General features: G+C 47.6%; 1 annotated feature.

Annotated features, from left to right (window-relative positions):
* Nucleotides 6,855-7,149: an enhancer, noted in NCBI's record as "tiled region #9346; HepG2 Activating DNase unmatched - State 4:PromP, and K562 Activating DNase unmatched - State 4:PromP". NCBI's record gives its function as "activates a minimal TATA promoter and a strong SV40 promoter by Sharpr-MPRA in HepG2 and K562 cells {active_cell/tissue: HepG2 | K562}" and the evidence as "EXISTENCE:reporter gene assay evidence [ECO:0000049][PMID:27701403]".

Raw genomic sequence — 25,764 nt, 5'->3', positions numbered from 1 at the left:
GTCTCCCCCACTCCACCAACTCTATTTTCCTGCATGTGGCTAACATTTCCCGTGGAGAACAGGAGCAGAGCTGGCCCTCTGTAAACAGACCAACATATCCCCTTGCGACAGTGAGTCTCCTATTATCTTTGTTTTTATCTTGTCTCAGCTTTGAGATAAGATTCCCAGAGGGCACAGACCTTGTCTGCCTCACCTGTGTCTTCCCTAAGCTCGTGGCAGGGGTTGGGGAATTATTTGTGGGGCCCCAGAATGACTCTTGATAAGTGGTTCTGTCTGGCTTCCGCAGCAGTGACAAGCTTGATAGATTAAAGCAGAGTGCTGGCCTGGAGTCTCCCCTCGCACTGCTGAACCTCCCTGGACGAAGTGCAGACGGGGAAGCCTTCGCTCATCTGGGTCATCTCTCAGGCTTTGTGAGTGATGCTGCCAGCAAATATCTGCCCCGCCCTCCTCTCCCCAACTCTGCAACCGGGGTTGCTGGTCCTATAGGCCTGGTGCTGTACTACAGGCTTAACAGGTACTATCTCACTTATCCTTGTGATGACCTGGTGAAGGAGGCCTGATTCTTCTCCCTGTTTTACAGAGGAAGAAACCCCGGGCTTACAGAAGGAAACCTCAGGTTATATATCCCAGAGGTGGGTCCAGGGCCCCCGCTAATAGTGATGGAGTCAGGGTTCAAACTCAGGGGGTGAGCTCGCCCTCCCTGTTAGGTGCTCCTAATGGTGTCTGTCACACCAGTGCCCATCTCAGGCACAGTAAGTCCTCACCTAACGTCATTAACAGGTTATTGGAAACTGTGACTTTAAGCGAAACAACACATAACAAAACCAGTTTTACCATAGGTTTATTGATATTAACAAGAGTTAAATTCTTACGGCATATTTCTGGTCAGAAAAACATCACCAAACTTCTAAATAAAGACCAACACACTTCTCCTATTGAACATTGAAATGAATGTGAGCTATACATACTTTTAAGAAAGATTAAGAAAAACATGTAAGATTGTTATTTTCCTGTTTATTCCAGTTCACGGTCTCGGGTGGCCTGAGCCTGTCCTGGCAGCCCAGGGTGCGTGATGCGACCCCATCCCGGCAAGACACTCTCCATCACAAGGCACACTCACAGACACACTCACTCACACTGGGACCATGTAGACGCCCGGTTCCCCGAACAGGCACAGCTTTACAATGTCGGAGGAAACCTAATGAGGTAACCCATGCAGATGGGGGGAGAGTGTGCGAATTCCAGATAGTGGCCCCGGCTGGCGATTGAGTTATGGTGAAACCACTGATGTTGAATGAAACAATGTATTATTCAAGGACCTTCTTTTTTTTTTTTCTTTTTTGAGATGGAGTCTCCCTCTGTCGCCCAGGCTGGAATGCAGTGGCATGATCTGAGCTCACTGCAGCCTCCGCTTCCTAGGTTCAAGTGATTCTCCTGCCTCAGCCTCCTGAATAGCTGGGATTACAGGCGCACGCCACCACACCCGGCTAATTTTTGTATTTTTAGTAGAGACAAGGTTTCACCATGTTGGCCAGGCTGGTCTGGAACTCCTGACCTCAGGTGATCCGACCACCTCAGCCTCCCAAAGTGCTGGGATTATAGGTGTGAGCCACTGTGCCTGGCCAACATGGTAAAACCCAGCTTTAGAATGCAGTAAGTGCTGGGAAGACAATAAAGCAGGGTAGTGAGATGGAGAGTGATGGGGAGGCAGAGAGCAAGGGTGACTTAACATTGGGTGGTCAGAAAAGGCCTCCGTGAAGAGGTGACATTTGACTTGACATTTGATTGACAAGAAAGAGTTAGCCATAGGAAGTTCTAGGGGAAAAACTTTCTTGGTAGGGTGAACAGCAAGTGCTGAGGCCCTGAGGTTTGATCAAGAGAAATTTAGGCAGGCACAGTGGCTCACACTTGTAATCCCAGCACTTTGGGAGGCTGAGGTGGGAGGATCACTGGAGCTCAGGAGTTTGAGGCCAGCCTGGCCAACATAGTGAGACCCTGTCTCTATAAAATAAACTGGCTGGGCGCGGTGGCTCATGCCTGTAATCCCAGCACTTTGGGAGGCCGAGGTGGGCAGATCATGAGGTCAGGAGATTGAGACCATCCTGGCTAACACAGTGAAACCCCATCTCTACTAAAAATACAAAAAATTAGCCGGGTGTGGTGGCGGGCACCTGCAGTCTCAGCTACTTGGGAGGCTGAAGCAGGAGAATGGCGTGAACCTGGGAGGTGGAGCTTGCAGTGAGCGGAGATCGTGCCACTGCATTCCAGCCTGGGAGACAGAGTAAGACTCTGTCTCAAAAAAAAAAAAACAAAAAAACACCAAAACACTAAAAAATTAACTGAGCATGTTAGTGCTTGCCTGTAGTCCCAGCTACTTAGGAGGCTGAGGTGGGAGGATCGCTTGAGCCCCAGAGGTCGAGGCTGCGAGGAGCTTTTATCATGCCACTGCATTCCAGTCTGGGTGACAGAGTAAGACCCTGCCTCCAAAAAAAGGGGAGGGGGAGGGAAGAGTCAAAAGGCCAATGTGGTTGAATGAAGTGTGGTTATTGGGGTTGGGGTTGTGGGGAGTGGTAGGGCTTGGGCCTGACAGATGAGCAGAGGTCAGATAGTGTAGGATCATAAAAGACACGTGAATGAATTTAGATTTGAGAAGGGAATGTTCTAGAAGGGTATGAGAACTGAAGACATTCCTATTTTAATGTTCAGGATTCTCAGTATGGTTGGTACCGTGGGTTCCTAAGTCCTTCAACTTACAACTGAACTGTAATTATCATCAAGAGCATCCTGGGAGGTTCCAGGAACTTGCAGGGGCTCAGGAGAGCATGGGGTTGCCAGGTGTGGTTTATTTAGAATGCAGAGATTGGGTGACACACACCATGGCTCATAGCATCTTTGCCAGAGGCCACATGACCAGAGTTACAGCTTCAGCCACGCAGGTATGGATGATCCAAGGGGCAGGGGCAGCTGTTTCCTGCCGAAGCTCCTGGAGCCTGTTCCACCTGTTGCTCAGGCTGGTGACATAGATCTATCAGGAATGGGTCAGAGGTTACCCTAATAATCTAGGCCTGCAATTTGGTTGAGAACCCATAAGAGGCTGGCAGCAGCAATCCTCCCCTGTAAATCAGGAAAAGGGAGACCAGGAGGTAAGGATGTTCATATTTCGGCACTGATTCAATGCCAAGGCATGGAGATTTTTCCAAATACAGAGGCTGGAGATTCTGATTCAGCAGGTCTTTGAGGGAAGCCCAGGTGATTCTGATGCAGACCCAGGATGAAGAAGCACCACATTCGGCTGGCCGTGGTAGCTCACGACTGTAGTCTCAGTTACTTGGGAGGCTGAGGCGGGAGGATCAGCTATGATTGCACCACAGCACTCTAGTCTGGTCAACGAGTGAGACACTGGCTCTTTGCAATTTTTTTTTTTTTTTTTTGAGACAGGGTCTTGCTCTGTCACCCAGACTGGAGTGCAAAGGTGTGATCTCAGCTTACCACAACCTCCACCTCTTGGGCTCAAGTGATCCTCCTGCCTCAGCCTCCCAAGTAGCTGAGGCCACAGGTGTGCACCACCACCCCCGGCTATATTTTTGTATTTTTAGTAGAGAGGGAGTCCCACTATGTTGCCCAGGCCGGTCTCGAACTCCTGAGCTTGAGCTATTGGCCCTCCTTGGCCTTCCAAAGTGTTGGGATTACAGGCATGAGCCACTGCACCTGGCCTGACACTGACTCTTCAAAACAAAACAAAACAAAAACAAACCCCACATTATAGGTTCCACATGATTAGGTGCACGGATGCAGGCACCACATGGCCTTGGTTCAAATCCCAGCTCCACCACGTACTCCATGAAGGATACTGAGCAAATCACGTAAACTCACTGTGCCTTCATGTCCTCACCATCAGATGGAGCCGATAATCAGAGGACCTCACTGATGGGCTGTGGCAGGGAATAAAGTACCTGAGCAGCAGTACCTGTACACTGTAAGTGCCACAAAAATATCAACCATCACTGTGCTTTCTCATTGAATTTCTGCGCAAGCCTGCAAGGAAAGACTCATTGACATTCAGTTTTATAAATGAGAACTGAGGTGAAGCGGCCCTTCCAAGGTCATGCTGACAGTGTTTTATTTGTCAACACACACAAAAACCAAAACCACACTCCATCTTAAATTGCTCAAATGATCTGGGATCTGATGGCCCATATCACCTGTTGCTCTGAAGACAGGAGGGTTGAAGAGTTGTGATCTTTCTCTTTCTTCCTTCCTTTCCTTCCTCCCTCCCTCCCTCCTTCTTTCCTTTCTTTCGTTTTTTTTTTTTTTTTTTTTTTTTTTGACGGAGTTTTGCTCTTGTCGCCTAGGCTGAAGTGCAGTGGCACAATCTCAACTCATTGCAACCTCCACTTTTTGGGTTCAAACAATTCTCCTGCCTCAGCCTCCCAAGTAGCTGGGATTACAGGTGTGAGCCACCGCGCCCAGCTGGGTTGTGACATTTCTGAAGGTGAAATGTGGCAGTTAAAGAGTGAGGCAAGCTGGGCGCGGTGGCTCACATCTGTAATCCCAGTGCTTTGGGAGGCCCAGGTGGGAGGATTGTTTGAGCCCAGGAGTTGGAGACCAGCTTGGGCAACATAGCAAGACCCCATTCTTCAAAAAAAAAAGAGTAAGGCAAAAATTCATTCCCATCCTGGATCAACCCTGTGCAGATAACAACTGTAAACTCTGGAAAAAATGTGAAAACCTGAAAGCACTGAGGAGTGAGCACAAGCAGGCAGGTGCTAGAGTGGTGCTGCCACTTGGGACAAGCCGGGTGAGTGCCTCGTTTTTGAGGGCAGGGCAAGTCTGTGCCAAGGTCTGGGAGTAGCTTAAACCCTGCAAAAAAAACCTGGTTTTATGTGGAAAAACCAGAGGGCAGGGTATGCACAAACACAGTGTCTGGAGATCGAGGCAGGGGGAATCCTGGAAAAGAGAGATCTGGGGAAGGGGAGACCCCAATTCTATATATGGGCCAGGCACACTGCCTCATGCCTGTAATCCCAGCACTTTGGGAGGGCTGAGGCAGGTGGATCACTTGAGGTCAGGAGTTTAAGACCAGCCTGGCCAACATGGCGAAACCTTGTCTCTACTAAAAATACAAACATCAGCCAAGCGTGATGTCACATGCCTGTAATCCCAGCTAGTCGAGAGGCTGAGGTGGGAGAATCGCTGGAACCCGGAAAGTGGAGATTGCAGTGAGGCAAGATCACGCCACTGCACTCCAGCCTGGGCGACAAGAGTGAAACTCTGTCTCAAAAAAAAAAAAAAGGAATTAGATGGCATACTATTTACTGTTGTGGAAAGGTGTCCAAGATATATATAGACAAGTGAAAAGCACAGTAAAAACCAATGTATAATATGCTACCAAAATTATATCTATCTATCTATCTATCTATCTATCTATCTATCTATCTATCTATCTATCTATCTATCTGCAGTTGGCCCTTGAACAACCTGGGTTTGAACTGCTTGAGTCCATGGATTTTTTTCAATAAATGTATTGGAACATGTTTAGGAGATTTGCAATAATTTGAAAAAACTTAGGCTAGGTGTGGTATCTCATGTCTGTAATCCCAGCACTTTGGGAGGCCAAGGTGGGAGAATTGCTTGAGGCTGGGAGTTCAAGACCAGCCTGGGCAACAAATTGAGACCCTGTCTTTACAAAAAATTAAAGAATTAGCTGGGCATGGTGGTGTGTGCCTGTAGTCCCAGCTACTTGGGAGGCTGAGGTGGGAGGATCACTTGAGCCCAGGAGGTGAAGGTTGTAGTGAGCCGAGATCACACCACTGCACTCCAGGCTGGGTGACAGAGTGAGATCCTGCCTCCAAAAAAAAAAAAAAAAAAGAAAAAGAAAAAAGAAAAAAGAAATTTGCAGAAAAACTGCATAGCCTAGAAATATCGAAAAAATTTAAAAAATAGGTATGGCATGAATGCATAAAATATATGTAGATGGTAGCCTATTTTGTCATTTACTACCATAAAATACCCTTGAAACAGTTAAGACTAACTCCTCCTTTTCCTCCTCCTCTTCAGTCTACTCAGCATGAAGTTCTTTTTTTTTCTAATAAATTATTCTTTTTCAAGACTCCTAGACCTGAGGCAATTTTTTTTCTTTTTTTTAAAAGACTTTTGAAAGGATGGAGATCTTTATGATAATCTACTTATACTTAACAAATAGTAAATAATTTTTCTCTTCCTTTTGATTTTCTTAATATTTTCTCTGGCTTACTATATTGTAAAAATATAGTATATGATATATTTACCATACAAAATACGTATTCATCAACAGCCTATGTTATTGATAAGATTTCCAGTCAACAGTGGGCTATTAGTATTAATAGTTAAGTTTTGGGGAAGTCAGAAGATAACATTTGCATTTTCAACTGCATGGAGGGTTGGTGCCCCAAACCTTCATGTTGTCCAAAGGTCAACTGTATATAAATTATGTTTTGTTTATTTTTTTGAGACAGGGTCTGGCTCTATTGCCCAGGCTGGAGTGCAGTGGGGTGATCTCGGCTTACTGCAGCCTTGACCTCCTGGGTTCAAGTGATCCTCCCACCTCAGCCTCCTGAGTAGCTGGGACTAAGGGCATGCACCTTGGCATGTTCAGCTAATTTTTGCATTTTTAGTAGAGAGAGGTTTCACCACGTTGGCCAGGCTGGCCTCGAACTGCCGACCTTAAGTGATCCGCCCTCCTCGGCCTCCCAAAGTGCTGGGATTACAGCACCGGGCCTATTTGGTTCCTTTCGATCCCTTATATTTTCTTATAGTGGTTTTGCAGTTTCAGATCTTATGTTTAAATATTTAATCCAGTTTGAGTTCATTCTTGCATAAGGGGTGAGATAACGGTCTGTTTTCCCTGTGCCCGTGGATTTCCAGCTTTAGTTTCATTTGATTTGAAGCGACTTTAGCAAGTGAATGCTGTTGATGGCTGCCCCCTAGTGGACTCCCATGAGATTGTGTTTTCGTGGTCTGCTCTTTTCCGCGGGAGGACCTCTACTGGATACCAGCACCTGGCCTCCAGCAGAGGGTAAACAAATTAATACTCCCTAGTGTGGCAAGAGTTTAGATAAATCACATTCTTATCCCCGCAGCATGGACACACGCTCGGGGAACAAGATGAAGATCTGCCTTCAATATCACCGTTATGATTACAAGGCTGGACTGGCCGTCAGAGAAGCACAACAGGACCAGGTGGGGTGGCTTACGCCTGAAATCCCAGCACATTGGGAGGCTGAAGCAGGAGGATCACTTGTGCCTAGGAGTTCAAGACTATCCTGAGCAACATAGCGAGACTCATCTCTACAAAAATTAAAAAATTAGCCAGGGATGGTGGCGTGTGCCTGTAGTCCCAGCTACTCAGGAGGCTGAGGTGGGAAGATTGCTTGAGTCCAGGAGGTCAAGGCTGCAGTGAGCTATGATCACACCACTGCACTTCAGCCTGGGTGACAGAGCAAGTCCCTGTCTTAAAAAAAAAGAAAAGAAAAGAAAAGAAAAAAGCCGGGACTGGTAGCTCACACCTGTAATCCCAGCACTTTGGGAGACTGAGGCTGGTGGATCACCTGAGGTCAGGAGTTCAAGATCAGCCTGACCAACATGGTGAAACCCTGTCTCTAGTAAAAATACAAAAAAATTAGCTGGGTGTGGTGGTGGGCGCCTGTAATCCCAGCTATTCAGGAGGCTGAGGCAGGAGAATCGCTTGAACCCAGGAGGCAGAAGTTGCAGTAGCTGAGATCGCACCATTGCATTCCAGCCTGGGTGACAAGAGCAAAACTCCATCAAAAAAAAAAAAAAAGAAAGAAAAAAGAGAAAAGGCACAACAGGCTTTAGTCTAATAGTTCTTCAACCTTGAGGCTGGACAATCTTTTGTTGTGGGAGACTGTCCTTTGCGTTGTAAGATGTTTAATTACATGCTTGGGTCTTTATATGCTAGATGCTAGTAGCATCCCTTCCTCCATTATGACAACCAAAAATATCTCCACACATTGCCTATGGTCCCTTGGGGGGCCAAGTTGCCCCCATTTTTTTTTTTAGATGGAGTCTTGCTTTGTCTTCCAGGCTGAAGTGCTGTGGTGTGATCTCGGCTCACTGCAACCTCCACCTCCCGGGTTCAACTGATTCTCCTGCCTCAGCCTCCTGAGTAGCTGGGATTACAGGTGTGCGCCACCATACCCAGCTAATTTTTGTATTTTTAGTAGAGACTGGGTTTCACCATGTTGGCCAGGCTGGTCTCGAATTCCTGACCTCAGGTGATATGCCTGCCTCAGCCTCCTAAAGTGCTGGGATTACAGGCATGAGCCACCACATATGGCCTTTTTTTTTTTTTTTGGAAACAGGGTCTCATTCTGTCATCCAGGCTGTAGTGCAGTGGTGCAATCACAGCTTACAACAGCCTCGATTTCCTGGGTTCAAGCGATCCTCCCACTTCAGCCTCCTGAGTAGCTGGGACTACAGGCGTGTGTCACCATGCCCAGCTGATTTTTTAATTTTTATTTTTACTAGAGACGGGATCTTGCTGTGTTACCTGGGCTGGTCTTGAGCTCCTGAGCTCAAGCAATCTGCCCTCCTCAGCCTCCCAAAGGGCTGGGATTACAGGCATGAGCCACTGCGCCCAGCCAGCAGATTAGTCTTGGTGAAAGGGAGCCCATGTTATTGAGCTCTTAGCAAGCCTCCGTCTGTGCCACCATGGTTAGTCTATTCAAGGACCCACTGTGCCAACACAGTTACGGCTGGGTACACAATCTGGCGGGCCTCCACTGGACCAGTCAGCCTGTCCGCCCAGTTGTTTAATGCTGTCTTTTGGAAGATACCCTCTGGTGGGCATTGACATGAGACTTGAAGATCCACACAGTTGGCACCTCTCCCACAAATCCATCTACATACTTCTGCTTCAGGTTCTCCTGTCTTCCAATCTCACTCCTTCAAGGCTCCCTGCCAACCATTTAAGCTATTCACCACTGCCAAGATGTCTGCATATATGCTCATGTCAGGCAACTTCTCTCTTCTCACAAAGTCGATGGCCGGGTATACCATCCAAAGCTTGTCCAGCCTTCCTAAGCTGCCCCTGCCTGGGAGTCTAGTGTAGCAGCAGGACATCTTCAGCTCTCACCAACAGAGGAGACATCCCGTGCATAAACTTGGCTTGGGGTCTCTCCTTCTCCATCAACTGTACATAAGAAACCCTTGGCCGGGCGCGGTGGCCCACACCTGTAATCCCAACACTTTGAGAGGCCAAGGTGGGTGGATCACGAGGTCAGGAGATCGAGACCATCCTGGCTAACATGGTGAAACCCCGTCTCTACTAAAAATAAAAAAAAAAAATTAGCCAGGAGTAGTGGTGGGTGCCTGTAGTCCCAGCTACTCGGGAGGCTGAGGCAGGAGAATGGCATGAACCCGGGAGGCGGAGCTTGCAGTGAGCCGAGATCGCGCTACTGCACTCCAGCCTGGGCGATAGAGCGAGACTCTGTCTCAGAAAAAAAAAAGAAACCCTTCATGAAGATGTAAGCATGAGCTGAGGAAGGCATCAGAGCAATGAGGCAGGGAACATGTAGGTCTGGGTCACATCTTTCTGTAACTTAATTGAACTTTGGACCTGCCCAGGACTGACCCTGAAGGTGCTGTTTCCACTGTACTACGGATTTCTGCTGTACTTTTCAAGCTAAAGACTTGGTGGGTCTGACAATTACTGGCTCACGATAGGCATCCCATGGTTAAGTACTCCATCTCTACTAGGGCCCAGTAGCATGCCAGGAGCTGCTTTTTCCAATGTTGAAGAGTTCTCTGTTGCAGATGGCATGGCCTTGCTCCAGAACCCTATGGGTATTTGTTGTAACTCTCTAGTGGGGCTTGCCAGAGATTCCACATGGTGTCATTTTCCACCCCAGATAGCTCTATGCCATGGGACCTGCCATGCTGCATGGCCCAAGTTGCAGAACCATTTGTATTGCAGCTGAAACCTACTACAAAGCTCTATTTCACTCTACGTCTACTTCAAAACTAATATTTTTTTTTCTGAGTTAGCAAGAAGCAGGAGCCCAAAGGATGGTATGAGCTGTCTCTAAAACACCAAAGACCTTGCTAATGCTAGGTTTTTCTTTTTTTCTTTTTTCTTCTTCCAAGACGGAGTCTTGTTCTGTCACCAGGCTGGAGTTCAGTGGAGGGATCTTGGCTCACTGCAACTTCCACCTCCCTGGCTCAAGCAATTCTCCTGCCTCAGCCTCCCAAGTAGCTGGGACTACAGGCATGTGCCACTATGCCCGGCTAATTTTTGTATTTTTAATAGAGACGGGGTTTCACCATGTTGGCCAGGCTGGTCTCGATCTCTTGACCCCATGATTCACCTGCCTTGGCCTCCCAAAGTGCTGGGATTACAGGTGTGAGCCACCGTGCCTGACCAATGCTAGGTTTTTCTTAGTGATAGTAAGTGAATGGTGCAGGCCAGGCACGGTGGCTCACGCCTGTAATCCCAGCACTTTGGGAGGCCGAGGTGGGCAGATCACCTGAGGTTAGGTGAGACCAGCCTGGCCAACATGGTGAAACCCTGTCTCTACTAAAAATACAAGATTAGCTGGGCGCACTGGTGCGCACCTGTTATCCCAGCTACTCAGGTGGCTGAGGCAGAGGAATCACTTGAACCGGGGCGGGGGAGGTTGCAGTGAGCTGAGACTCTGTCAAAAAAAAAAAAAACAACAACAACAACAAAAAACAAGGAAGTAAGTGCATGGTCCAATATTCTTTCCTCTGTCTTGGAGGAGACGTCTTTCTATGCCCCGGACCACTAGGCTGCAAGGAAAACTTCACCAATGTGACAGGTTCCTGGATCTTTGTAGGATTTATCTACCATCCTGTGGCACACCAGAATGTTCAGATATCTTCCACTTCCTGCTCACCAGGTCTGATTGACATGGCGTCATCAATATAGTGGACCTGAGGGATGTTCTGTGGGAGGCCCAGAAGATCAAGGCCCCTTGGGACTATGTTGTGACAGACAGCAGGAGAGTTACTATAGCTCTGGGCTAGACCTCAAATGTGTACAACTGTCTGTCCCAAGTGAATTGAACTGCTCGAGACTCGCCTATCTGATGGGGATTGAAAAGAACTCATCTGACTGGGCACAGTGGCTCATGCCTATAATCCTAGCACTTTTGGAGGCTGAGGTGGGAAGATTGCTTGAGGGCAAGAGAGTGAGACCAGCCTGGGCAACATGGCAAGACCCCATCTCTACAAAATAAAATAAAATAAAAAGATGAGCCACACGTGGTGGTGTGTGCCTGTAGTCCCAGCTACTCAGGAGGCAAAGGTGGGAGGATCACTTGAGCCTGGGAGGTTGAGGCTGCAGTGAGTCGTGATCATGCCACTGTACTCCAGCCTTGCTGACAAAGCCAGACCTTGTCTCAAAAAAGAATTTAAAAAAAGAATAGAACTCATCTGCCAGATCAACAGCTGCTTGTTCAGTTCAGGGGCTGTGTTGATTTGCCCTGGTGAAGATTTCCAAAGAGCAAGAGGCAGATGCTGAAGATTTTGATTAGGGGAGTGATATAATTACATTTGCATTGTAAAGGGCCACTTGGGATTCTGTGTGGGGAAGTGATTGGAGAAGAGGGCAAGAATAGATGCAGTAAGACCTTATATTTTATGTTCTTCACAAATTTGCACCCAGCTAGCTTGGCTGGCAGAGCATGAGGCTCTGAAAACACACACACAGACACACACACACAGACACACACATGTGTGCATTTGGAGTTGTTGGTCTGGTGGGCTTAGCTCTATTCACTAAGGTGAGGGAATAGGAGCTAGGATTGATCTGATGCATCTGTTAAGGTGAATAACATGAGCTGTTGTAATGAGAGGTCTCCCCAAAGCTCAGTGTTCTACACAATAAAAATGTATTTCTTACAACGTAATAGAAGGCAGGTCATTCAGGGACCACTGCTATGAACTGAATTGTGCTCTCCTCGCCCCAATTCATATGTTGAAGCCCTGACCCCCAGTGTGATGGAATTTAGAGATGGGGCCTTTGGGAGCTAATTAGATTTAGAGGAAGTCACCATGGTAGCGCCTTTATGATGGGAGTAGTGTTCTCATAAGAAAAGACGCTAGAGCAGGCACCAGGGCTCTCTCTCTGTCTGCCAATGTGAGAACACAGTGAGAAGGTGGCTGTCAGCCAGCCAGGAAGAGGGCCCTCCCCAGAACCTGACATGCTGACTCCCTGATCTCATACTTTCTTTCTTTCTTTTTTTGAGACAGAATCTCACTCTGTCACCCAGGCTGGAGTGCAGTGGTGCCATCTTGGCTCACTGCAGCCTCTGCCTCCTGGGTTCAAGCGATTCTCCTGCTTCGGTCTTCTGAGTAGCTGGGATTACAGGCACCTATCACCATGCAGACTAATTTTTGTGTTTTTAATTAGAGAAAAGGTCTCACCATGTTGGCCAGGCTGGTCTCGAAATCCTGACCTCAGGTGATCCACCCACCTCAGCCTCCCAAAGTGCTGAGATTATAGGCGTGAGCCACCGTGTCCTGATCTCATACTTTCAACTTCCAGGACTGTGAGAAAATAAATCTCTGTTGTTGAAGCCACCTAGTTGATGGTGTTTTGTTATGGCGGCCTGAGTTGACTAGTACAGATCCCATTTAGGATCTTGAATTTTTCTAATCAACTGGGAGATGGGGAAAAACAATGGAAGACAGCATGTAGGAGGTTTCACTGGGCCAGTCTTGGAAGTGGTGCCTTGCTTATGCTCAGTTTATTGGCCAGACTCAGTCACATGACTACTCCTAACTGCAAGGGAGGCTGGGAAATATAGTCCAGTTTTGTGCTCAGGAGGAAGAAGAAATGGGCTGGGTAAGAACCTGAAGAATCTCTGCCACAACTTGAGAACCAGGAAACAAAACACAGTAGTGCTAAACATAACTTGTCAGGTCCCAGTAGCCCCATGGAGCCAGGCTATCTTCCAATGGAAGGAGGAATTGTCTGAGTTATTATAAATGTCTTGTTTACCAACATCTTGTCTTTACCAACAAGACCATACTAATGTCTTGTTTCCCATCAAAAGGCGGCCATCTCTGCCAGGTCACTCAGGCAGGTGGAGCAGGTCACTGGGGAATCCAGGAGGTGATATTTGGAGACCCTGGCAGGAAGGTAGATGGGTAAATAGGTTATCAGAAGTGATATGGCCCCAGGCATCCAGGCTGGGGTCCAAGGGTGAGATTCTGATCCCTGAGTTACAGAGAGGGAATATTAAACTAGGCAAGATTCTAGGTGTATGCAGGTGGTCCAGCCTGGAATTTAGGCAGAGAGAGGAGAGAAAAGTCCAACTTTAAAAGTAATGGCAAAAACTGCAACTACTTTTGCAGCAACCTATTAAATCTGAAGTCTAAGGTCAGGAGTTGACTAGAAGCCTGGATTCCTGGATGCAGAGCCTCACACTGTTGGGTTCAGAACTCTTGATCTCCACCTGTCTAAAGCTATCTAAAGTCTTTATTGGTCTCTCAAATGGAGTGGGATAATAGTGGACACTTGTTATTTTTCCTTGAGCAGCACCTGTTTTCATTTTTTTTCTGCTTTAAGAACTTTTTTTTTTTCTTTGAAGAGCTACTCCTCACTGACTCTCAGTCCATGCAGCTTTAGCGGTGCTGAGCACAGTCCCCTGGTTCCAGGGTTAGGAGTAGGACCCAATCCTGGCCAGTCAGAGTCACTGCCATGGTTCATGGATGGACCCATGACTCCGCTGGAACCCATAAGAGTCAAGCGTGTCATGAGAGAATGTGAACCAGAAGAAGAAGAGTAGTCTTCTAAAAAAATAAACAAAACATAATTTATATACAGTTGACCCTTGGACAACATGAAGGTTTGGGGCACCAACCCTCCATGCAGTTGAAAATGCAAATGTTATCTTATGACTTCCCCAAAACTTAACTATTAATACTAATAGCCCACTGTTGACTGGAAATCTTATCAATAACATAGGCAGTTGATGAATACGTATTTTGTATGGTAAATATATCATATACTATATTTTTACAATATAGTAAGCCAGAGAAAATATTAAGAAAATATTAAGAAAGACACATCTCTTGGTGGTCATAGTGGTCGACTCTCTAAAATTCATTACCCCCAGATAATTATCTTAAGTTAATCATAATAATCCATTTTCTTGGCAGTGACTAGTTCAAGGGTGGACAAGTTAAAATCAATTTGGGCCAAGAGGTGCAAGGAAAGTCTTGCTAGGAGCTTCTGAAAAGGATGCTTTAATACATTTAAGCCAGATCGAGGATGAAGCCAGTGCTGTGAATGGGCAGAGTAAAGAGACAGAATAAAGATTCATCTTGGTGCAGATGAATCAACTGAGCTGAAAGCTCAGCCCACCTCTGGACTCTGTCTCTGGGTGCTGTCTGTCTTGTTGAGTCAGCTTTTTGGTTATGAGTCTCCAAAAGGCATCTTAACTGGTAGAGGTATCCATGGGATGTAGACCTGGGGCTGCTTGGGGTCATCTGTGCCACTTCATAGCGACAGCCTGCCTTCCATAGAAGCCAGCACAGAAAAACTGAACTAAGGGGTTTAAAAGGACACATTCCCAAAGCTACTTTTTTGGACACCCAATCCAGTAGTGCCTGGCATATTCAGTAACTTGAGCCTATAAACCCACCCTCTCTATTTTTAAGCCAATTTGTACTGAGGTTCTGCAACTTGGAACCAAGGAGTCCTGATTTTCTTTTTCTTTGTCTTTTTCTCCTTCCCTTCCTTCCCTTTCTTCCCTTCCCTTTCTTCCCTTCTTTTTCTTTCCCTCTTTCTTTCTTTCTTTCTTTCTTTCTTTCTTTCTCTTTCTTTCTTTCTTTCTTTCTTTCTTTCTTTCTTTCTTTCTTTCTTTCTTTCTTTCTTTCTTTTTTTCTCTCTCTCTTTCTCTCTCTCTCTCTTTCTTTCTTTCTTCTTTTCTGAGATGGAGTTTTGCTCTGTCACCCAGGTTGGAGTGCAATGGCACAATCTCAGCTCACTTCAACCTCTGCCTCCTGGGTTCAAGCAATTCCCCTGCCTCAGCCTCCTGAATAGCTGGGACCACAGAAACATGCCACCATGCCTGGCTAATTTTTGTATTTTTAGTAGAGATGGGATTTCACCGTGTTGGCCAGGCTGTTCTCAAACTCCTGACCTCAGGTGAACTGCCTGCCTCAGCCTTCTAAAGTGCTGGGATTACAGGCGTGAGCCACTGCACTGGGCCCAAAGAGTCCTGACTCATAAGCTTGAGCTGGAATGTGAGACAGTGAAATTGCTCCCGCTCTGGGATGGAAAGAGTAGCTAAAACAGGAAACCAAGCAGGCTGTAATGGAAATGCTCTGACTTGACTTGGCAATTTGTTGGCACATACAATTGGTAGAAAAATCACTTAAAGATCTGCTGTTGAAACAAACTAGAGTTGGCTCAGAGCCAGGTACCATAACATAAGAATCAGGTAGGCTGAGCATTGTGGCATATGCCTGTAATCCCAGCACTTCGAGAGGCCAAGGCAGGAGGATCACTTGAGGCCAGGAGTTCAAGACCAGCCTGGGCAACATCGTGAGGCCCTGTCTCTACAAAAAATAATTTAAATAAGTTAGTGAGGCATGGTGGTGCACAAATGTAGTCTCAGCTACTTGGGAAGCTGAGGTGGGAGAATCACTTGAGCCCAGGAGGTCAAGGTTGCAGTGAGCTACAATTGGGCCACTGCACTCCAGCCTGGGTGATAGGGCAAGATCCTATTTCAAAAAAAAAGAATCTGATGGACTTAGGGGGTTTATGGGGTGGCATAGCAAGACAGTCAGTGCCCCACCCAAATCCTCACGCACTCACTGTCCCTTTTCATGCTGACTGCATCCTGCTGTGAGCAGCTGCATCTGTCAGCCCGAATACTTTCTCTTAGACTGTGAGTGCTGGGGAGCTAATGTCCTGGAAGCAGCCATTGACAACACAGATGGGCAATGAAAGATAAACACCCCACTCCTTGTTCCTCAGCAGGGAAGGATCACCCTGAGAGTGTTTATTTTATTTTTATTTATTTATTTTTTAGACAAGGTCTTTCTCTGTGGCCCAGGCTGGAGTACGGTGGTGCAATCACAGCTCATTGCAATCTTGACCTCCTGGGCTCAAGCGATCCTCCCACCTCAGCCTCTAGAGTAGACGGGACTACAGGTGAGTGCCACTGCACTAGCCTTATTTCTTCATTTTCTTTTGGTAGAGATGAGGGCTCTCTATGTTGCCCAAGCTAGACTTGAACTCCTGGACTCAAGGGATCCGCCCGTTTAGGCTTCCCCAAGTGCTGGGATTACAAGCGTGAGCCATCACACTTAGCTTGAGAGTGTTTTTTTTTTTTTTTCTTGAGACAGAGTCCCGCACTGTTGCCCTGGCTGGAGTGCAATGGTGCAATCTCTGCTCACTGCAACCTCTGTCTCCCAGGTTCAAGTGAGTCTCCTGCCTCAGCCTCCTGAGTAGCTGGGACTACAGGCACACGCCACCACGCCTGGCTAAATTTTCGTATTTTTAGTAGAGATGGGGTTTCACTATGTTGACCAGGCTGGTCTCAAACTCCTGACCTTGTGATCCGCCCGCCTCGGCCTCCCAAAGTCCTGGGATTACAGGCATGAGAGAGTGTCCTAAACTGTCTCAGATGTACCCAGTGGGATCAGCCCCGGTTCCCCACAGCAGTAACCTACTTAGTCAAATGCCCTTTCATTGTGTCTTTCCCTCCCGTCTTACTTCCTGTTAGGGACTGAACTGTGTGCTCCCCTCCCAATTCACATGTTGAAGTCTCAACCCCCAGTGCTTCAGAACGTGACTGCATTTGGAAATAGGGCTTTTCAAGAGGTTAATAAGCTAAAATGAGGCTGTAAGGGTGGGCCCTAATCCAATCCGACGGTTGTACTTAACAGAGGAGATTAGGACACCGAGAGACACCAGGCATCTGCTGCACAGACAGACAACCATGTGAAAAGGCAGCAGGAGGTCAGCCACCTGCAGCCAAGGAGAGAGGCCTCTGAGGAAACCAACCCTGCCAGCACTTTGATCTTGAACTTCCAGCCTCCAGAACTGTGAGAAAGTATATTCCTGTTGTTTAAGCCACCCAGTCTATGGCATTTTGTTTTGGCAGCTTTAGCAGACTAATATACTTCCCCATTCCCCCACAGTGCTTCCTGGGGTCAATTCTCAGATAAATGATTTGCACTTTAATCCTTATCTCAGGGGCCAGGTGGGAGGGGGCTCACGCCTGTAATCCCAGCACTTTGGGAAGCCGAGGTGGGCAGATCACCTGAGGTCAGGAGTTCAAGAGCAGCCTGACCAACATAGTGAAACATCGTCTCCACTAACTTTACAAAATGTAGCTGGGTGGGGCGGCACATTGCTGTAGTCCCAGCTACTCAGGAGGCTGAGGCAGGAGAATCCCTTGAACCCGGGAGGTGGAGGTTGCAGTGAACTGAGATCGTGCCACTGCACTACAGCCTGGGTGACAGAGTGACTTCGTCTAAAAAAAAAAAAATTATCTCAGGAAACCAACTCGCAGACCAACAACGCATATGTAAGTACATGGAACCACATGGAACTTTGTAGATCAAACAACAGTGCCCAGAAGTCAGGGACAAAGTATTATAGTGCAGTGGTTAAAAGTGTGAGATTGCGTGGTGATTTGTGCCTATAGTTCCAGCTACGTGAGAGGCTGAGACAGGAGGATTGGTTGAGGCCAAGAGTCTGAGGCTGCAGTGAGCTATGATTGTGCCACTGCACTCTAGTCTCGGCAACAGAGCAAGATCCCGTCCTTAAGATAAAAATTAAGGGAAAAGAAAAGAGGGCTCAGTGACTCATGCCTGTGATCCTAGCACTTTGGAAGGCCAAGATGGGAGGGTTGTTTGAGCCCAGGAGTTCAAGATCAGCCTGGGCAACACAGTGAAACCCCATCTTTACAAAACATTTTTAAAAAATGAAAAATAAAAAAAATTAGCCAGGCGTGGTGTGCGCCTATAGTCTCAACTTCTTGGAAGGCTGAGGTGGGTGGATTGCTTGAGCCTGGGAGATTGAGGCTGCAGTGAGTCATAATCGTGCCACTGCACTCCAGCTTGGGTGACAGAGCAAGACCTTGTCTCATTAAAAAAAAAAAAAAAAGAAAAGAAAAGGGAAAAAAAGGTGAAATTTGGAGTCAGGCAGAACTGGACTCAGGCTCTGGATCTGTGGATAGAGTAAAAGAAAATTAAGCCCTAGTATCCCCATCTTTGCTGAATTTCTAGTCCAGGTAAGAAGACCAGGCCAGGTGCAGTGGCTCACAACTGTAATCCCAGTACTTTGGGACACCTGAGGCAGGTGGATCACTTGAGGTCAGGAGATTGAGACCAGCCTGGCCAACATGGTGAAATCCCGTCTAATAAAAATTAGCCAGGCATGGTGGTGGGTGCCTGTAGTCTCAGCTACTTGGGAGGCTGAGGCACGAGAATCGCTTGAACCCAGGAGACAGAGGTTGCAGTGAGCTGAGATCACACCACAGCACTCCAGCTTGGGTGACACAGCAAGAGTCTGTCTCAAAAAAACCAAAAACACAAACAAAAAAACAACAACAAGCAAATAAACCAAAAACTAGCCACCCAGAAAATCAGCTGGCATTCCTAGTGTCATAGCAAAAAGATCATTTGCCTGGGCAACGGGGACCTCAGTTCTGGTAGCAACTGATTAATCTCCAAGCCTTTTGCGGGCAGGGTAGGGATCTTGTGTGTTTTGCTTTCCATTTATTTCCAGTGTCCAGCACTATGCTGAAGACTGAGTGATAAATTAGCATTGAATGAAGGACGGAGTATGACTTTGGGCTAGGCTGTTGAGCACTGCAGCTTCTAGGTGTAAGAAGTGGGTGTAATAACCTTTGTCACAGGATGTGTGTGTTGTTTCAATGATGTAAGGGAAGGGCTTTATCCACTGGGTCACCTGTCTGGATGCAACGTGATGGTTTTCTCCAGCCAGGCGCTGTGCCTTGTGGATAAACAAGAAGGCTCTGAGGCCAGACAGGCTTGGGAGACCCCAACCCTGCCACTTACAATCTGTGTGGACTTCAATGAGGTGCTTAAATTCAACATCTAGTAAGCTGTCAATAACAGCTACTCAATAAAGCGTCCTGCCAGGGCGGGGACTTCGCTTTGCCACATTTGAGCATCTCCCGCCAGCTTTGTACTGTTTTCTGTTTGCCCACTAGAGGTCAGGCTAACCCCAAAGTTCAAAGCTCCTAAACCCAGCCCAAAACACCATTTCTAAAGTGTCCAGGCAGGGCGCGGTGGCTCACGCCTGTAATCTCTGCACTTTGGGAAGCTGAGGCGGGAAGATCACTGGAGCCCAGGAGTTCCAGACCAGCCTGAGCAACAAAGTGAGAGCTCCAAAATACGAAAAAATTAGCCAGCAGTTGTGACGAGGGCCTATTGTCCCAGCTATTTGGGAGGCTAAGCTGGGAGGATTGCTTGAGCCCTGGAGGTTTAGGCTGGCTGCAGTGAGCTATGATTGTGCTGTTTCACTCCAGCCTGGGAAACAGAGCGAGACCCAGCCTGAAAAAAGTGTCGGGAGGGGAAGATGACTTAACCTGTGAAACCGCGCTGGTCATACAAACACATTTTCCAAGGTTGCTCTCTGTCCTTCTCAACCAACCCTCGGATTTTATCACTAGACTAAGAGAATGGAGATTTGTATGGAGGGCAAATTTATTGAGTTACTTCTGAGAAATCATCAGGGAACAAAGGACACAAAAGAAAGCGAAAGCTGGAGGTAATAATAACAATTTCCGAGTATTGACGATGTATTGGGAACTTAAATAATTTTACACTTATTAACTGATTTCATGATTGTAACACTCTATGGGGTAGGTATAGTTTCATGTTACAGATGAAAAGCCGGCACGGAGATGTAGCACTGGGCTCTTAATCACAGTGTGATGCTGAGATTGGCAAGAGCCTGACTGCCATTAGGAACCAGCTGATATATTTCAGGCCTGGGATCTATGAAATACAAAAGGCTTTGAGCATTTCCCAGGTGCAGATATTTTTGTTGTTGTTGTTTGTTGTTTTGAGATGGAGTCTTGCTCTGTTGCCCAGGCTGGAGTGCAGTGGGGTGCTCTTGACTCACTGTAACCTCCACCTCCTGGGTTCAGGTGATTCTCCTGCCTCAGCCTCCTTAGTAGCTAGGACTGTAGGTAGGTGCAACCATGCCCGGCTAATTTTTGTGTTTTTAGTAGAGACAAGATTTTGCCACGTTGGACACACTGGTCTTGAAGTCCTGCCCTCAGGTGATCTGCCTGCCTCGGCCTCCCAAAGTGCTGAGATTACAGGTGTGAGCCACCGTGCCCGGCCCCCAGGTGCGGATGTTTTTGGTCTTTGAGACACATCTTTTGGGTTCGTTGAACCAGGGAGAAAACTCTCCACCTCCCTCCTTCATTTATCTCTGTCTGTGGCTCTTTGGGGGTCACACAGACATGGGTTCAAATCTTGGCACTGCTGTTTGCCAGCCGTGTGGCCTGGGTAAGTATGTACTTTGCTGAGCCTCAGTTTCTTCTACTGTAAAATGTAGAATTTTTCTCACAGGCCACTCTCCAATCTCTCTGACTCCTCTTCTGTCTCCTCTGGAATGTGAGTTCCTGGAGGAAAGTTTCCTTCTTGGCCAGGCATAGTGGCTCACGCCTGTCATCCTATCACTTTGGGAGGCTGAGGTGGAGGATCACTTGAGCCCAGGAGTTCGAGACCAGCCTGGGCAACATAGTGAAGCCCTGTATCTGCAAAAATTAAAAAATTAGCCATATGAGGTGGCATGCATGTGTAGTCCCAGCTACTCAGGAGGCTGAGGCAGGAGGCTGACTGAGCCCAGGAGTTTAAGCCTGCAGTAAGTTATGATTGTATCGCTGCACTCCAGCCTGGGAGACTCTGTCTGGAAAGAAAAAGAAAGAAGGAAGGAAGGAAGGAAGGAAGGAAAGAAAGGAGGGAGGGAGGGAGGGAGGGAGGGAAGGAGGGAAGGAAGGAAGGAAGGAATTTCTAATGTCCAGAACAGCCTGGCATATGTTAGATGCTTAAGAAATAAATGCTGATGGCTGCCTGATGCTTCCCACTGAATGTCCCTTAAAGTGTAAGTCTATATTCCCATTGAAAGTGCAGAACTTCAATCATTTGCTAATGACTGTCAAGCAGCCATTCATTCATGGATGCATGCGTTCATTGCTGAACACTTGTGCATTAGAGGCTGGGCATGGTGACTCACACCTGTTATCCCAGCAGTTTGGGAGGCTGAAGCAGGCTGATCATTTGAGGTCAGGAGTTCCAGACCAGCCTGGCCAACATGGCAAAACCCCGTCTCTACTAAAAATACAAAAATTAGCTGGGCATGCTGGTGCATGCCTGTAATCCCAGCTACTTGGGAGGCTGAGGTAGGAGATTCACTTGAACCTGGGAGGTGGAGGTTGCAGTAAGCTGAGATTGCACCACTGTACTCTAGCCTGGGTGACAGAGCTAAACTCCGTCTCAAAAAAAAAAAAAAAAAAAAAAGTAGGAGCCTGCTCTCAAGAACTTCAAGTCCAGCATGAGACAAGCTGGCCATTATGGAGTTCCAGCCTCAACAGTCCCACCCTTGGCTGGCCCCACCATCCATGTGCGTTTTCTGTGTATTTGATCCTTGCCCACTTAGAAGTGGAACTCGCTGGGCCAGGTGCAGTGGCTCACGCCTGTAATCCCAGCTCTTTGGGAGGCCGAGGCGGGCGGAACACAAGGTCAGGAGATTGAGACCATCCTGGCCAACGTGGTGAAATCCCATCTCTACTGAAAATAAAAAAAATTAGCTGGGCGTGGTGATGGGTGCCTATAGTCCCAGCTACTTGGGAGGCTGAGGCAGGAGAATGGCATGAACCTGGGAGGCAGAGTTTGCAGTGAGCCGAGGTTGCGCCACTGCACTCCAGCCTGGGTGACAGAGTGAGACTCCATCTCAGAAAAAAAAAGAAGTGGAACTCGCTGTGGCCATGCCATGCTCTTCTCTTTTGCTCTTCTGGATTGCTTGAGCCCAGGAGGTTGAGTTCAGTCTGGGTAATATAGGGAGACCCCATCTCTTAATAAACAAAAAACACCAGCCTGGGCAACATGGTAAAACCCTGTCTCTACTAAAAATACAAAAATTAGCTGGGCACAGTGGTGTACGCTTGTAGTCTCAGCTGCTGGGGAGGCTGAGGCAAAAGAATCACTTGAACCCAGGAGGCAGAGGTTGCAGTGAGCCGAGATCAAGCCACTGCACTGCAGCCTGGGAGGTCTGGGTCACATTCTTGGACAGACTGAGGATCAGGTGCTGTATTAGTCCATTATCACACTGCCATTAAAAAAAAAACTGAAACTGAGTAATTTATAAAGAAAAGAGTTTTAATTGTCTCATGGTTCTGCAGGCTCTACAAGAAGCATGGCTGGGGAGGCCTCAGGAAACTTACAGTCATGGAAGAAGGGGAAGCAGGCACATCTTACATGGCTGGTGTAGGAGGAGGAGAGAGAGGTGGGAGGTGATACACTTTAAACAACCAGATTTCATGCTGGGTGCGGTGGCTCATGCCTATAATCCCAGCACTTTGGGAGGCCAAGGCAGGCGGATCACCTGAAGTCAGGAGTTCAAGACCAGCCTGGCCAACATGGTGAAATGTTGTCTCTACAAAAATACAGACACACACAAAAATTAGCTGGATGTAGTGGTGGATGCCTGTAATCCCTGCTACTCAGGAGGCTGAGGCAAGAGAATCGCTTGAACCCAGGAGGCAGAGGTTGCAGTGAGCTGAGATCATGCCACTGCACTCTAGCCTGGGCGACAGAGCAAGACTCCGTCTCAACAAAACAAAACAAAAAACAAAACCAAAATAAACAACCAGATCTCATGAGCACTCACGAGCAGCACCAAGGGGGAAATCCACCCCCATGATCCAATCACCTCCCACCAGGCCCGGCCTCCAACATTGGGGATTACGATTTGGCATGAGATTTGGGTGGGGACATGGACCCAAACCATTTCAGGGGCATAAATCAAGACTCCTGGGGCTGAGTATGGTGGGTCATGCCTGTAATCCCATCACTTTGGGAGGCTGAGGAGGATGGATCACTTGAGTCCAGGAGTTCGAGACCAGCCTGGAAAACATAGTGGGACACCATCTCTACAAAAAGTAAAAAAATAAAAAATTATCCAGGCATGGTGGTGCACACCTGTAGTCCCAGCTACTTGAGAGGCTAAGGTGGGAGGATGGCTTGAGCCCAAGAGGTTGAGGCTGCAGTGAGCCAAGGTGGTACCACTGCATTCCAACCTGGGTGGCAGAGGAGACCCTGACTCAAAACAACAACAACAACAACACAAAACAAAACAAAACAAAAACTCCAGTTTCCTCTTATATGGTTGTAGCAGGAAGAAGTGGGGGAGGAGGTGTGTGTGTGTGTTTAAACCTTTTTTTTTTTGGCAAGCACACATGTGCACAACCCAATATACACATCACGCTTACTTCTCTTTTCTTGGGGTAAGCTCCAGCATGACCAACCTCGGGCAGGTCTATTCTCTCTGGGCCTCATTTTCCTTATCTGCTCAATGAAGCTGATGGATACAGCGCTTTCCAAGGTACCTTTTCACAATAACATGTTCTCAACCAGTGTGCAGGTATTCCCCTCCTAGGGAGACGTTTCTTGCATCTTTCCCACACACATGGCCCTGCATGCACACACAGACACAGAGCTGCAGTGTGTGCACATCTATCCCACACTCTGTCCCTCCAAGCCTTCCTACCCTGGACTATCTGGACTAGTAAGGAATGAAACAAGAAACACAGGGTCCGGGTCATGGTGGTGAGGGTGAGGGAGGCAGAGTCCCAAAGGCCTGTTCTCACCCTTAGGAGGTTCTGGGGCAGGAGGTCTGGGTCACATTCTTGGACAGATGCTGGAGGCCAGCTCTGCCCTAGTCTATGATCGAGGCCAGGCACTCTTTGAACTGATGGATATGGGGAAGCAGTACTTTTGAGCCCTCTCTAGACCCAGCTTTACCCCTACAAGCTCTGCAAATCACTTCTTAGTATTTAACTTTTTTTTTTTTTAATTTAGAGATCAGGTGTATCAGTCCGTTCTCACACTGCTATAAAGAAATAACTGAGACTGGGTAATTCATAAAGAAAAAAGGTTTCATTGGCTCATGGTTCTGCAGGCTGTACAGGAAGCATGGCTGGGGAGGCTTCAGGAAACTTACAATCATGGCAGAAGGCGAAGGGGAAGCAGTTTCCTCTTATATGGTTGGAGCAGGAGGAAACAGGGGAAGAGGTGCTACACAATTTTAAATGAGCAGCTCTAGTGGTAAGTCACTATCATGAGAGCGGCACCCAAGAGGAAATCCCCTCCCATGATCCAATCACCTCCCACCAGGCCCCACCTCCAACATTGGGGGTTACAATTCGACATGAGATACGGGTGGGAACACAGACCCAAACCGTATTACCAGGTCCTGCTTTGTTGCCCAGGCTGGAGTGCAGTGGCATGATCATAGCTCATTGCATCCTCAAACTCTCAGATGCAGAGATCCCCCCGCCTCAGCCTCTGGAGTAGCTAGGACGACAGGCATGCACCATCACGCTCGGCTAATTCTTAGTATTTCTGAAAGCATGGGTAGCAGTGCGTGTGTGGAGGAAGGAAGGCTGTAGAGGGCTGGTGTTCCCTCGCTGTTCCTTCTCCACAGGAGAAATTGAGTTGGGTGTGTCTAATTCCAGCTTGCCAGCTGAGGGCGCTTCTGTTCCGTAATTCCACCACCCTGGCCTTGGTGAGCCGAGTACAATTTCTTATCCCAAAGATAGGCCTAGGAGCAGGTTCTTTTTCACTCAAAGTAAGGGAGGCTTCAACACAGACCATAGCCAACACAGACCAGGCATGGTGGTGGGCGCCTGTAGTCTCAGCCATCAGGAGGCTGAGTCGGGAGGATTGCTTGAGCCCGGGAGGTAGAGTCCAGTCTGGGCAACATAGGGTGACCCCATCTCTTAATAAACAAAAAACACCAGCCTGGGCAACATGGTAAAACCCTGTCTCTACTAAAAATAGAAAAATTAGCTGGGCACGGTGGTGTACGCTTGTAGTCTCAGCTGCTGGGGAGGCTGAGGCAAAAGAATCACTTGAACCCAGGAGGCAGAGAATGCAGTGAGCCGAGGTCAAGCCACTGCACTCCAGCCTGGGTAAAAAAGCCAGGCTGTCTCAAACAAAACAAAACAAAACAAAACAAAACCACCCCGAAATCAAGCAAACAGAAAACAAAAACAAAACAAAAAATACCCACAAGGTTTAGGCTGCCGCCCATCTTTCTTTGATGGTGAGGTGGAGATTGGGAGGAGAGAAAGTAATCATTTCTTGCCTATGGGGTAATAGGGAATGCAAATTCTCATCCTTTGACTTGAGTTGGGTTCCCTAGCAGGAGATCCTAAGATGGAAACCAAGAATTCTCAGGAGGAGATGAGTGAGGAAGCAGGATAAAACAGTACAGAAAGCTCACTAATGCCACAGGAAGCAAAATGACAACACAGAGCTGGTCCCCACTTAAGGCCAAGGGGCTGGCCCCATTCCCGTGGGTTATCGTCCGAGGTCTGATCCCAGGAGGTGTGGGGGCCATCATCTAGTGGTTCCTTTCTGCCCAAGGGCTGTGCATTAGTTTGGAAGGCTGCTGAAACAAAGTACCACCACCTGGATGGCTTAAACCACAGACATTTATTCTCTAATAGTTCTGGAGGC

This window comes from Homo sapiens, chromosome 16 (assembly GCF_000001405.40).
Source record: "Homo sapiens chromosome 16, GRCh38.p14 Primary Assembly".
Taxonomy (NCBI): domain Eukaryota; kingdom Metazoa; phylum Chordata; class Mammalia; order Primates; family Hominidae; genus Homo; species Homo sapiens.
This window is presented reverse-complemented; position numbering and strand designations above follow the sequence as displayed.